Genomic DNA, 13,668 nt, shown 5'->3' with positions numbered 1-13,668 from the left:
ATGTCCGGTCCCACCGGGTTGGGACATGCCCTTGGGCTTCTAAACACCTATAGTTTTCCCACTGAGATATTGAGGGGGTATAAACAACAACATTCAGACCCCGTCCTCGTGATTTACTGCCTGCTTTCTGCTTAGGGAAGCTGGTGCCTCCTGCCCACACTCCTCGGTTCAAAATTCAGAACTAGCCATTCAATTTTGGAGGATGTGGGACCCAAAAGGAAGAATGATGTGGACTTTATTTTTTTTTCCCCATTGTAGTTTTTGTATAATATTTATTTATGTAATACCTTACAAATATGTATATATTATATATCTAAAAGTTATATACATATAAATATGTATAATAAATATACATATTTGTACATATTTAAAGCACGCAGAATCCATTAAGGAAGACGTATTTAATAAAAGTTGCTTTGAGAACTTGGAGGTCATATGATGAGCTCTGTCATGTCTACACATGCACACATGCACACATACACCCACACACATGCACACGTACACATACACCCACACACGCACACATGTACACACACCCCACACACATGCACACGCACACACACATAGAACCCCACATGCACACATGTACACACATACACTCCCCCACACGCACACATGGACACACACACCCACCCACAGGCACACATGTACACACACCCACAGGCACACATGTACAGACACACCCACACACGCACACATGTACACACATCCAAACCCCCTACTCACACGTGCACACATATGCACACATGTACACACACCTACACACATGTACACATACACCCACACCCCCCCACGCACACATGTACACACACATACACCCACACCCCCCACGCACACATGTATACACACCCCCACACCCCATGTATACCCACACACACACATGTACACATACACCCACACACAATACACACATGCACACATGTACACACGCACACCCCCTACACGCACACATGTACACCAACACACGCACATATGTACACAATACACCCACACACGTACACATGCACACCCACACATGTACACACCCACACATGTACACACAATACACCCACACACGTACACATACACCCACACCCACACGTACCCACATACAGCCCCCCACACACGTACACGCACACATGCACACATGTACACACCCACACATGTACACATACACCCATGCCCACACATGCACACATGCACACACATACACCCACACGCACACATGTACACATACACCCACCCACACGTGCACACATGTACACACACACCCATACCCACACATCCACACATGTACACGTACACCCACACACGCACACATGTACACACACACCCATACCCACACATCCACACATGTACACATACACCCACACACGCACACATGTACACAATACACCCACACATGCATACGTACACACGCACACGTATACACCCACACACATGTACACACATACATCCATACTCACACATGTACACACACGTACACCCACACACATTACACCTACACCCACATGCACACGTACACGTGCATACACCACACACACGCACACATGTACACACACCACATGCACACATGTACACACACCACATCCACACGTACACATGCATACACCCACACACATGTACACACAATACACCCACACCCACACACATGCACACATGTACACACACCCACACACATACAATACACCCACACACATACATGTACACACACATACACCCCCCACACGCACACATGTACACACCCACACACACGCACACGTGTACATACACATACACCCCTCCACACACATGCACACATGTACACACATACAATACACCCACACAATGTACACACACATACACTCCCCACATGCACACATGTACACACCCACACGCACACATGTACATACACTCCACACACATGCACACATGTACACACACCCACACACATGCACACACACATACATGCACACACGTGTGAAGTCTACCCTGTGTCCAGATCACACATGCATGAGGTATAATAATGTGGCTAACAGTCATGACCAGATGTGCAAGGTTGAGGAAAGCTCTGTGAGGGTCGTGGCTGGTGTAGGGCAACAGGGCTGTGGTTTTGTGACAGGGCCATGGTGTGCCCTCGGCTCTCGGCCTGGGTGACCTTGGGAAGGCCAGTCCCCTGAGGTCGTCCACCCCTACTAACGGTGTGGCTCAGGCTGTCCTGTGTGCCCCTGAGAAGGGGCCCCTGTGTCCGGGAGGGCTCCATCCTCCGGGAAGCCAGCCTGTGGCATAGGCTGGAACTCCTGCTGGGGGTGTGTGGGCGGAAGAACAGCTCACAATGGGAAATGGGCCGGACTCGGCGGGGAGAGAGGAATTGCCGTCCGCAGGCCCGTTTGGTCTCGGGGTAAGATTTCAAAGGTCTCTGTTTTGAAATTATGAGACCACCAAAAAAGCATGCCAGGGCCAAAAATGACTGTAAAAGGTAATAATTGTTAATAACTTGGCGTCCGCTCGGTCATTCGAGCAGCCTGGTTTTGGCAAACGTAAAGGACAACATTGTAAGCAATAGGAAGGCAACAGCCTGGCCCATAAAACCATTAACCGCACCATAACTGCATATTAAATATGAGTTTTAATTCAATTTATAGTTTAAATAAGGATCTTTGCACCGGCTTAGAGGGGAGGAGGGATTGCGAGGCTCATAAAACACACGGAAACAGCGCTCTGCCCTTGGGTCATCGCACAGCGTCCTCGACCCTGGCCCTCCTGGGAGGTCGTCCTGGGCGTCCCTGTGTGCTGGGGACATCTTCAACACGGAGGGAGCCCCGTGGTGAGAGGCGGGTGCCCATGCCTCCTGGCTGGTCAGGACGGTGGGCCTCGGCTCTGTGGCCTCCAGGTCCACCGTCCCTCCTAGGTGGGCCGCCAGGTGCCAACCACAGCCGGACTTTCTCTCTAGGTGGGATTTTGGTCTTGACCTTCAAGCTGCCCCAGCAGACCCCCCGCGGCTCACTAGGGCGGGATTTGAGGAGTCATGGAAAGAAAGAGTCCTCACTTTGGGTGTCGGCAGCATTGTGAGCTGCTTTCCCTGGGGCCTGGGAGGAGCCGAGGCTGACTCCTGCGGTCCTTTGCTGCGCGCTTTCCGGCCAAGCAGCGGAGTCAGGACTGTCAAATGCAATGGATTCCATCTAAAAAACTCTCAACTCGCTCCTTCGCGTTCCGTAAAAATTACATGTTGATGGTAGAAAATGTGGGCAATTCAGAACATTATCTTTAAGACGGTAAAAATCATGTGATTCTAACACTTAGGGGTAAATTTTGTTAACATTTTGGTCTATTTGCTCTTGTTCTATTTTAAGCAAAAATATCTTTATTTTACAGCAACAATAGTGGCCCCGGCCTGTTCTTACAGCGTGCCAGGGATTGTGCCAGCTGCTTTCTGGAACTGGCTGCTTTAACAATGGGAGCCCCCTTGTGGGGTAGGTTTTTATGGACCCATTAACGGGAGCCCGGGGAGAGCAGGCAGCTGGTTCATTGCACAGGGAGCATTTGATGAAGTTTGAATCCAGGTCTGCCCGATTCCAAAACTCATCCAGTCATTGTGCTCTGCAGATTCCTTAAATCCAACGGCTTGTTCAGGCCGGTCCAGCACTTAGTTGTATCATTGCTATATTTACCCGTGAATTTGTCCCTGTGGCTTCATGGGCTTGTTGAATGAACGAAGCGATGGATGGACGAATGTAGTCAACAGTGCACGAATGGCATTTCCAAGCTAGCCCCATGCAGGGAGCCATGGGGATAAATAGTGCACCCCGGAAGTCCTTTTGCGCTTGGGCAGTTCATTTTGTATGTTACTAACAAATATAATGCTTTACATCACTGTTTAATATTAACATTATTATCCAAGTTGCATTGCTCTCCAGCTTTTATCATATAAGGTTTTATTCCCAGCATTGGCTCAAATGTTTTACACACACACACACACACACACACACACATATATATATTTGAGACAGGGTCCCACTCTGTCCCTCACACTGGAGTGCAGGGGTGCAATTATGGCTCACTGCAGCCTCAGCCTCCCAGGCTCAAACAATCCTCCCGCCTCAGCCTCCCGAATAGCTGGGACTACAGGCACACACCACCACACTTAGCTAATATTTGTATTTTCTTTTTGTAGAGACAGGGTTTTACCATATTTCCCAGGCTCAAACTCCTGGGCTCAATCAGGCTACCCACCCCAGCCCCCTAAAATGCTGGGATTGCAGGTGGGATCCACTACACCCTCCCGGGCTCAATTTATATTTTTGACAGGTATGTCGTTTCATTTTATGAATAGTAATCCAAATAAAGAGATTAACATGTTAGAAAGGGAATTATCCAACTCCAGGGACCCTGGACCCCACTCCCCACCTTTCCTGCACCCACGGCCCCTCCCGCTTCAGATCTCCATGGGAAAATGCCCCACGATGGCGCCTCTGGCTTTCACTTCATTTGCGCCTCCCCTGCCTTGCCCATCAGTGTCTCAGTGCAACTCTTTCCCATCTGAGACCCCCTCCCAACACCTCCACACACACATATTCCTTCTGCCTGGAACACCCCTGGCCCTTTCCGTGGTCGACTCATTTTCATCCCCCATTTTTTGGCCTAAATCCCCCTTTCCTGACCATCCAATCCAAGGCAGGTCCTCCCCTTCCTCAGTGCTTTCTGTCTTTACCTCCTGTCACTTTAGCAGCTCCCATTGTGGTTTGCAGCATGAGTTTTTATTTGTCTAACATCTGGCTCCCCCATCAGACTGTGAACCCTGTAACAGCAGGGGCTGCAGTCTCTTGCCCGCTGCTGCATCTTCAGCATGTAGCACATGACGATAAAGATTGGAGGGAATGAGTGCATGAAAGGTCGTTTCCAGGGGTTACTTTTCTGCATTGGGCTGATCTTTGGGTTGGATTTTTACTACGCAGAATATTCTTGTAGATATTCGAGAGAAAAAGCTCATGAGAGCTCTGGGTGTCCCTTTAAGTGGACACCTCGGCGACAAGTGGACACACTGAGGCGAGTTTACCTGGACCTGCCCTGTGTCTCAGTGCTCTGTTGGGCGGGTGTTATGGCCAAGCAGCTGTCATCATGGATGGACACCAGGTGGTGCAGCTGGCAGAGGGCGCTCAGTGTTGGCGGCCTGAGAGCCCTCCCTCATACAGTCTCCCGTGGTCTGGGGGCCACGCCTGTACCCACCTTGGAGTTTTGCCTGCTGCCTCCTTCCTAGAACCTTCCCACCCCCACCCCAAGGCTCAGCTGAAGCCCACCACTCCAGCAACTGATGAGTCAAGAGAATGTGGCCTATCCACACAGTGGACTAATACTCAGACATGGAAAGGAATGAAGTGCTACAACATCGATGAACTTTGAAAACATCAGGCTAAGTGGAAGAAGCCAGTCACGAAAGACCACTGTATTAGACTATCCTTGGATTGCTGTAAAGAAATACCTGAGACTGGGTAATTTATAAAGAAAAGAGGTTGAATTGGCTCACAGTTCTGCAGGCTGTACCGTAAGTGTGGTGCTGGCATCTGCTTGGCTTCTGGGGAGGCCTCAGGAAACTTACAATCACGGTGGCAGGTGAAGGAGGAGCAGGCACCTGTCACATGTCTGGAGCAGGAGCAAGAGAGAGAGCCAGGTGCCACAGTTTTAAATGGCCAGATCTCACGAGAACTCACTCACTGTCTTGAGACCTGCACTGAGGCGATGGTGCTAAACCATTCATGAGAAATCCACCCCCATGATCCGGTTACCTTCCACCAGGCCCCATCTCCAATACTGGGGATTACAATTCAACATGAGATATGGGTGGGGACAAATGTCCAAACAATGTCAGCCATATACTGCATGAGTCCACGTATGTGAGTTTTCCAAAAGAGGCAAATCCACAAAGACAGCAGAAAGCAGGGGCCGGGAGGAGAGGGAATAGGGAGTGACTGCTAATGGGCATGGGGTTTCTTTTGAGGGGATGGAAATGTCCTGGAATCTGATAGTGCTGATGGTTGCACAATTTTGTAAATATACTAGAAACCACTGAATTGCATACTTTAAAAGGGTGACTTTTATAGTATCTGAATTTTATCCCAATAATAAAAAAAAGAATCCGTTTCTTCTTTGTGTCTGACTCCCACCCTTGGACTGTAAGGCTATTGTTTTTTTCTAGTGAAATATTCCCAAACTGTTGGCTCAAGAATAGCCAAGGAGGTTAACACATTGTACAGTTAAGTCTGAGGTCCTCCTGGGCAGAACAGTGGGAGTCTAATTAAAGGGGCTGGGGACTTCTGGGCTGTGGTTTTGTTTAGACTGGGAGGCACTGGTGAACTGGGGCAGAAGGGCTTCCCACTGGGCCTCCCAGTTTCTCTCTGGCTCCTCCAGAGGGGCAGACGAGTAAAGGGCCTGCGGCCACTTCTGTGCTGGGAGCAGAGTGTGGGGCAGGAGGCCTAAGTCAGGAGTTACCTGGTGCCTTCGAACTCTACAGGCCCAGAAAGCCCTGGGCTCCCTTCAGAGGCACCTGGAACTGTAAATCCTCGGGCAGGTTGTTGGTGTTTGGTTTGGATCTCTGCTCCACCACTTCAGCTTTTTCTTCTTTAACATGGGGATGGTGATGAGGAGGGCTCAGTGAGTGAAGATGTTTCACGCCCTCCCACCCAGGCTCGTGGCTGCAACTGCTGTGCCTAGAGGCTCTCAGCAAATCGGAGGGCAGTCACTGAAGGCAGTGGTCCTTACCCTCCTAGAGCAAGGGAAGATAAAGCACCAACGAGTTCCCCTTGCTTCACCACCCGGTCTCACCATGATATGCACTGGAAGGGCTCAGGAGAACTGGGGTCCACTCCTGGGTTAGCACTGGGGGAGCGTCGCTCTGTCCTGGGTTCTGGGATGGCCAGGTGGAGGATGCGATCCCCCCTCAGATGGACATTATTTCGTTCTTATCTACAATTGGTGAATCTGAATGGGCAAATATTCCCATAGGTTGAAAGTCAAGCCGGGATGGGCTCCTGAGACGCTCTGCTTCAGTTCCCATAGATCCACCCGGCCCCGGCCCCCTTCACAGGGCAGCAGCCTCAGTGGGATCTGCTTCTCTGGGGCCCTTCCTGAGCCCACACAGCACAGGTGGGGAGGAAGCAGAGTCTCTTTAAGAACAACTTGATTGTGGGATATTTTACTCATCATAAAGTTCACTCATTTCAGGCCGGGCGCGGTGGCTCACGCCTGTAATCCCAGCACTTTGGGAGGCCAAGGCAGGCGGATCGCCTGAGGTCGGGAGTTCGAGACCAGCCTGGCCAGCATGGTGAAACCCCGTCTCTAATAAAAATACAAAAATTAGCCGGGCGTGGTGGCGGGTGCCTGTAATCCCAGCTACTCGGGAAGCTGAGGCAGGAGAATCGCTTGAACCCGGGAGGCGGAGGTCGCAGTGAGCCGAGATCGCGCCACTGCACTCCAGCCTGGGCGACAGAGCGAGACTCCGTCTCAAAAAAAAAAAAAGTTCACTCATTTGAGGTGTGCAACTCAAAGATTTTTACTAATTTTACCAAGTGGTGCAGCCGCCCCCCAAGTCAGCTTGAGAGCATCCTTACCCCTGACCAAGTAACATCCCCCTGCCCATTGACAGTGAATCCCCGGCCCCCTGCAAACACCAAGCTGCCTCCTCTCTCTACCGATTTGCCTTTGATGGATATTCCATAGGAACGGAAGCTGCACTGCATGGCCTTTGTGACTGGCTCTTCCACTCTGCGTCGTGTTTTCAGGGCTCCTCCAGGTTGTAATGTGTGTCAGCCCTTCCTTCCTTTTTTTTTTTTTTATTCTGAGATGGAGTTTCTCTCTTGTCGCCCAAGCTGGAGTGCAGTGGTGCCATCTCAGCTCACTGCAACCTCCACCTCCGTGGTTTAAGCAATTCTCCTGCCTCAGCCTCCCAAGTAGCCACCACACCCGGGTAATTTTGTGTTTTTAGTAGAGAAGAGGTTTCACCATGTTGGCCAGGCTGGTCTCAAACTCCCGGCCTCGGGTGATGCGCCCACCTCGGTCTCCCAAAGTGCTGGGATTACAGGTGTGAGCCACCACACCCGGCCTCCTTCCTTCCTAGTTATGGTAAATAATATTGTGTGGTCTGAATCTGCCGTATTTTGTTTATCCATTCATCTGTTGATAGACACTTGGCTGTTTCATACAAGCAGATTCTTTTCTTCCCTTTCTTACACCCTATGTATCTGTGTATCTGTGATTACATATATGAGTACACATATATGTGTCTGTGTATGTAGGTGTCTGCATCTGTGTGTGCATGTATGTGTGCATATGTATATGTCTGTCTGTATGCATATATGGGTGTACTGTATGTATATATGCATATGTGCGCATGTATGTGTGCTCAGGTATGTGTGCATGCACACACAAGCACGTTTACATGCATGTTTGTATATATGGGTGCATGTATATGAATATGTACACAAGTGTGTACTATATGTGCACGTACATGCATGTTTATGTATGCGCATGTACACACGTGTGCATGTCCATATATGTGTGTCTATATCTACAATCTTGCACCTTGGTTGCTTCACTTAACAACACACATGTGATTCTTCTTCAAATTATTGCCAGCGCTGATTTACTGTCCTGCTTCCCAGCTGTGGGCACAACCCCCAGTGCATTTGCCTTCCTCCTGGTCTCTGTGTTGCGGGGGTGCAGCCTTTGTCCCATTCCTTGGCCATGAGTAATACACCCGGTATGACCTTGTGCTGTTGGCACAGCACCCTCAGGTAGATGGTGAGCCCTTGGGGGCAGGGGCTGCCTGTCTTTGCCCCCTGAATCTGTCTGGCATGTGAAGGAGCTCGGGGCTTGTCTGTTACTGATCAGAGGAAGATGGCTGTGGCCCCCACCCATGTTCTCCGAGGGCTTATCCTGGCTTGGATGATCTTGGCTTCTTTGGGAAGGGAGGGGTGGGGCTGTCTTCCCGCTGTTGTGCCACCATCTTGGGGACTCTCTGAGAAAGGACTCGTGTTGCTGGGGAGACCTCCGTGGCCCCTTGCTGCAGGTGCCCATGGCAGGCATGTGATGTCCGCCCTGGAGGCTCTGGAAACTCCGTGGGGGCCCACACAGAGCTTCACAGGCCTCCGATGGTGATGGAAGTGAGGGCTGTGGCGATGATGGCAGGAGCTCACATTGGTGGCACCTGTTCTGTGCCAGGCGCTCTTCTGAGCCCTGCACATGGATGGACCCATTGACTGCCCGAGGACTCCATGACGTAGGTGTTGGTGCAAAGCCATTTACAGACGAGAACAGTGGTCACTGAGCCGACACTCTGTGCACCTGCCGTGCCTCCTCCTCCCGCTTTCCAGCCTCACGCCTGCCCTAAAGTGACAACTGGAATACGGGTGACAACAAAACAAACCACGCATGTGCCAGGCTTCCTTAGGGACTTTGCACGTGCACCCACGGCAATGCTGTGCCTTCCCATTTACAGATGAGACCAGCAAGGCCAGCAGGGAGGATGAGGGGCTGAGGCTGCACGGCTGGAAGGGGTGGCTGAGCAAGGCAGGATTTGAACTCAGCTCCAAGCCAGAGGTCAGCAGTGTCCCCCTCCCTGTGTGCATTCAGGCTGTTTGTGGGGGTGGGGCAGGGACTGTAGTTCTGCCTCCCTGGAAAGTTCCCGTTTCCTGCAGTGGGCTCTGGTCAGTGACCGGGCAGGTTCCTGCCCCTGCCCTCCCGGCCCCTGTCCTGGCCCAGGGCCCAACACTCCAGTCTGTTTTCCAGACAGGAAACATGAATCAAAATAGCATGACACACGAAACCGTAATTGGGGCTGTGCTGTGAGGCCCAGGGAGGCCTAACGAGTAGAGGCCTCTGCCATCGAACCTGCTGTGGGTGCCCTCCTTCCGCCCTCGGAACCCTCTGGCCTGAAACAGCATTCCATCAGCCCCCCTCCTCACCCAGGAGACCAATGGGGGGAAGGGGGGTGGGGGTGGGGAGGAAGAGGGAGAGGGACGGAAAGGGAGAGACACACAGAGACAGAGGGAGAGAGAGAGGGAGAGGGGGGAGAGATGGGGAGAGAGAGAAGGGGAGACAAAGGGAGAGATAAAGAGGGAGAAAGAGAGGAGGGGAGAGAAAGGGAGAGCGGAGAGAGGTAGAAAAAGAGAGATTCATAAGAGAAGAAAGAGGAAGAGGGAGAGAGAGAGGGAGAGGGAGAGACATGGAAGGAGAGAGACGGAGAGTGAGAGGGAGAGGGAGAGAGAGAGGGAAGGAGGGAGAGAGAGAGGGAAGGAGGGAGAGAGACAGGGAAGGAGGGAGAGAGGGAAGGGGGGAGAGAGAGATGGAGGGAGAGAGAGAGGGACAGAGAGACGGGGAGAGAGAGGGAGGCAGAGAGAGAAGGAGGGAGAAAGGGAGAGAGGGAGGCAGAGAGAGGAGGGAGAAAGGGAGAGAGGGAGGCAGAGAGAGGAGGGAGAAAGGGAGAGAGGGAGAGAGAGGGAGCGGGGAGAGAGAGGAAGAGAGGAGGGAGAGGGAGAGAGCTACAGAGGGAAAGTGGGAGAGGGATGGGGAGAGAGGGAGAGTGGAGGGGCTCTCTGTGCCTGGTTTGGTTGTGCTGTTCCTGATAACTCTGACCCCGACTGACCGACCGGTGCTTACTCTGAACGTTTCCAGGGTCTCTGCGTTTAGGGCCCGTCTGAAGGTTTCTGTGACGGCCTCGGCGGCTCTATGGGCAGATGGCCCTATGGCTCCTCCTAGCTCTGACAGGATCCTCTCAGCCTCTGTGTGCTTTCGCCTCTGCTTCTGCCTCTGCCTCTCTGTCTCTGTCCCTGTCCTGTGCCTGCATCTTTCTGTTCCCTTCCCTATCTCTGTCATCTTCGTTTCTTTCTTTTCTTTTCTTGCCTTCTCCCTCCCCTTGTTTCTTGCTTCAAATAAAGGACAGGGGAGACAGAAGAAAGCTTCGGGGACTTTAGAGCTGCATGGACGGCCCCTTCCGACCCAGCCTCCTCCCTGCAACCCCCAATAGCTGCGCCCCTGTGCCCCTCGTCCCCTCGCTCTCCTCTGTCCAGCCTCCCAGCCCTTCCTGCCCGCCTCTCCCTCCCTTCCTGCCCGAGACCCCCCAGAATCCCCCTCCTGGAAATGCCATTGCCCCCCTGGGGCCTGACCCTCGCTGGCAATCCTCCACTTCCCTGGTGGTCTTCCCTCTGGTCAGCCGGGTGAAAGGTCGCCAGCTGTTGGAGGGGCGGGGGTCTTTGAGGGCATCTAACTGGGTGTTCCCCACATGGGGGCCTTGAACCCCTAAGGGGCCTCGAGGGCCGCCGCAGTCATGGGGGGAGGATCTGTGCGCAGTTCCTTCCTTCATTCATAATCCGTCTTCACTCTGCACACGCCATCTCTGCTCCTTGTGGGAAAACGCAGGCGGGCCCAGTGTGAAGTGGAGCCTCGTCCTCTCTCTGCCCAGAGGGGACCACTGAGGACCGTGGAGAGTAAGGTCCGATGGAGATGGGTTGTTTCATCCCCGATTTCCTCACTTGGCAACGTAGTTTTGTAGCTCAGAGTGTGGCTCTTAATGGTCAGATCTGGGCCAGGCTGCTTAGCCCCCTAAGCTGACGGCACTGCCGTGAGCAGGGCAGGCCTGTTCTTTACCCTCGAGGGCTTTCTGTCCAGTGGGCAGACATTGGACACCGTCCCGCAGGGACCTTCCCTGACCCAGCTCAGATCTGTGAGCGTGGCTGACCCGGCCTGCAGGTGAGGCAGGACTTTCCTGAGCAGGTGGTCACGGTGGTAGGATTGGCCAAAGAAGTCAGTGGGGGGCAGCAGGCAGAGAGATGACAGGGACAAGGGCCCCGTGGTGAGCAGAGCTTGGCGTGATCCTGGAGCAGGACCAGAGTGAGCAGGGAAACATGGAAGGTGAAGGCTGGGGTGGGTGGCAGAGCAGACCCTACAGGACTTGCAGGCCCCCAGGAGCCTGGTCTTCTCTAGGCTGGGGTGGCTGTGCCTCGTGCTGTGGTGCCCGGTCTTGCCATGAAAGTGCCAGGTGTCACCCCCTCCATTGGGGGAGGCGGTGGGGAAACCTGAAGCCCAGGCCTGCCTCGGCTGCCAGCAGCCTGGTGTCTGACAGTGCACCCAAGCTGGCTGGTGGGAGTCCTCTGAATGTCTGTCTTCACTGGCTTTGGGTTCTCCTGTTCTGATGAGGTCATGGTGGTCTTTGGGGGCGCTCAGCTCACGGCAGGCTGCCTGGATCAGGGATGCTCATGTGCCCGCAAAGAAGAGCTTTATCCTCATTGATTTCTAACCAGCTTTATTGAGGTGTGATGTACACACCCTAAAAGTCACTTTTTTCGGTGTTCAATGGAATTCAACTCAATAATGAAAAAGAATGAATTACCGATACATGTAACAGCACAACCAAGCCTCAGAAGCATGCTAAGTGGAAGAAGCCAGGTGTGAAAGGGCACATATGCGATGCTTCTACCTACATGACATTTCTAGAAAAGACCCTGTCTTTCTTTTGAAATATCTGATCCAGAAATATTCAACTGAATTCGAAGTCTATTCATATCAGCCCCAGTCCCTTTAACATCACTTTTGTCTGTGATGAAAGATGAAGCACAGAGAGTGTCTTTAAAACTCTCAGTTTTTATACATTTAAAACAAGTTGGCTGGGCATGGTGGCTCAGGCCTGTAATCCCAGCAGAGGCAGGTGATTATTTATTTATTCATTTATTTTTGAGACCGTGTCTCACTCTGTCACCCAGGCTGGAGTGAAGTGGCGCGATCTCGGCTCACTGAAACCTCTCCCTCACGGGTTCAAGCGATTCTCCTGCCTCAGCCTCCCGAGTAGCTGGGACTACAGGCGCTTTGGGAAGCCATGGCAGGTAGATTGCTTAAGCCGAGGAGTTCGAGACAAGCCTGGGCAACATGCTGAAACCTCATCTCTACAAAAAACATAAAAGTAACCAGGCGTGGTGGTGCATACATGTAGTTACTCTGGAGGCTGAGATGGGAGGATGGCTTGAGCCTGGGAGGTCAAGGCTGCAGTGCACCATGATTGCGCCACTGCACTCCAGCCTGGGCGACAGAGTGAGACCCGATCTCAAAATAAATATAAATAAATAAAGTAAAATAGTTGTCAAAGTTGGTTAAGAGTCTTTAAAATCACCTTTTTCTGGCCTGGTGGGGTGGCTCACACCTGTAATCCCAGCACTTTGGGAGGCCGAGGTGGCAGATCACTTGAGCCCAGGAGTTTGAGACCAGCCTGGACAACATGGTGAAACCCTGTCTCTACTAAAAATACAAAAATTAGTTGGGCATGGTGGTGGGTGCCTGTAATCCCAGCTACTCAGGAGGCTGAGGCAGGAGAATCACTTGAACCCAGGAGGTGGAAGTTGCAGTGAGCCAAGATCCTGCCACTACACTCCAGCCTGGGCAGCAGGCGACACTCGGCCTCAAAAAAATAAAAACATAAATAAATAAAAAATAAATAAAATAAAATCACCTGCTTCTGCAAACAAAATGTGTCTTTGAGAATGATTATCAAGAAGTGGAAGAATTCACCACAAAAGTGTCCTGACCGGGGCTGGACGCTGCCCATGCCTGTCCTGCATCCCTGGGTTGCCCAGGTCCCTGCAGCTCTGTAGGTTTCCGGGGAAGGCAGTGGGTGATTCGGGAGCATGTTCCACATGCCCCTCAGAGGCCCCCAGTAGGTCTGATGTCTGG

At 52.1% G+C, this 13,668-nt stretch overlaps 1 annotated feature.

The window, feature by feature from the left end:
* Positions 1,694 to 2,544: an enhancer, noted in NCBI's record as "H3K4me1 hESC enhancer chr16:87220006-87220856 (GRCh37/hg19 assembly coordinates)". NCBI's record gives its function as "activates a minimal SCP1, AML or CMV promoter by ChIP-STARR-seq in naive and primed H9 embryonic stem cells {active_cell/tissue: H9 hESC(naive and primed)}" and the evidence as "EXISTENCE:reporter gene assay evidence [ECO:0000049][PMID:30033119]".

Source organism: Homo sapiens, chromosome 16, assembly GCF_000001405.40.
Source record: "Homo sapiens chromosome 16, GRCh38.p14 Primary Assembly".
In the NCBI taxonomy this organism is placed as follows: domain Eukaryota; kingdom Metazoa; phylum Chordata; class Mammalia; order Primates; family Hominidae; genus Homo; species Homo sapiens.
Note: the sequence above shows the minus strand (reverse complement) of the source record. Positions and strands in the feature narration are given on the sequence as shown.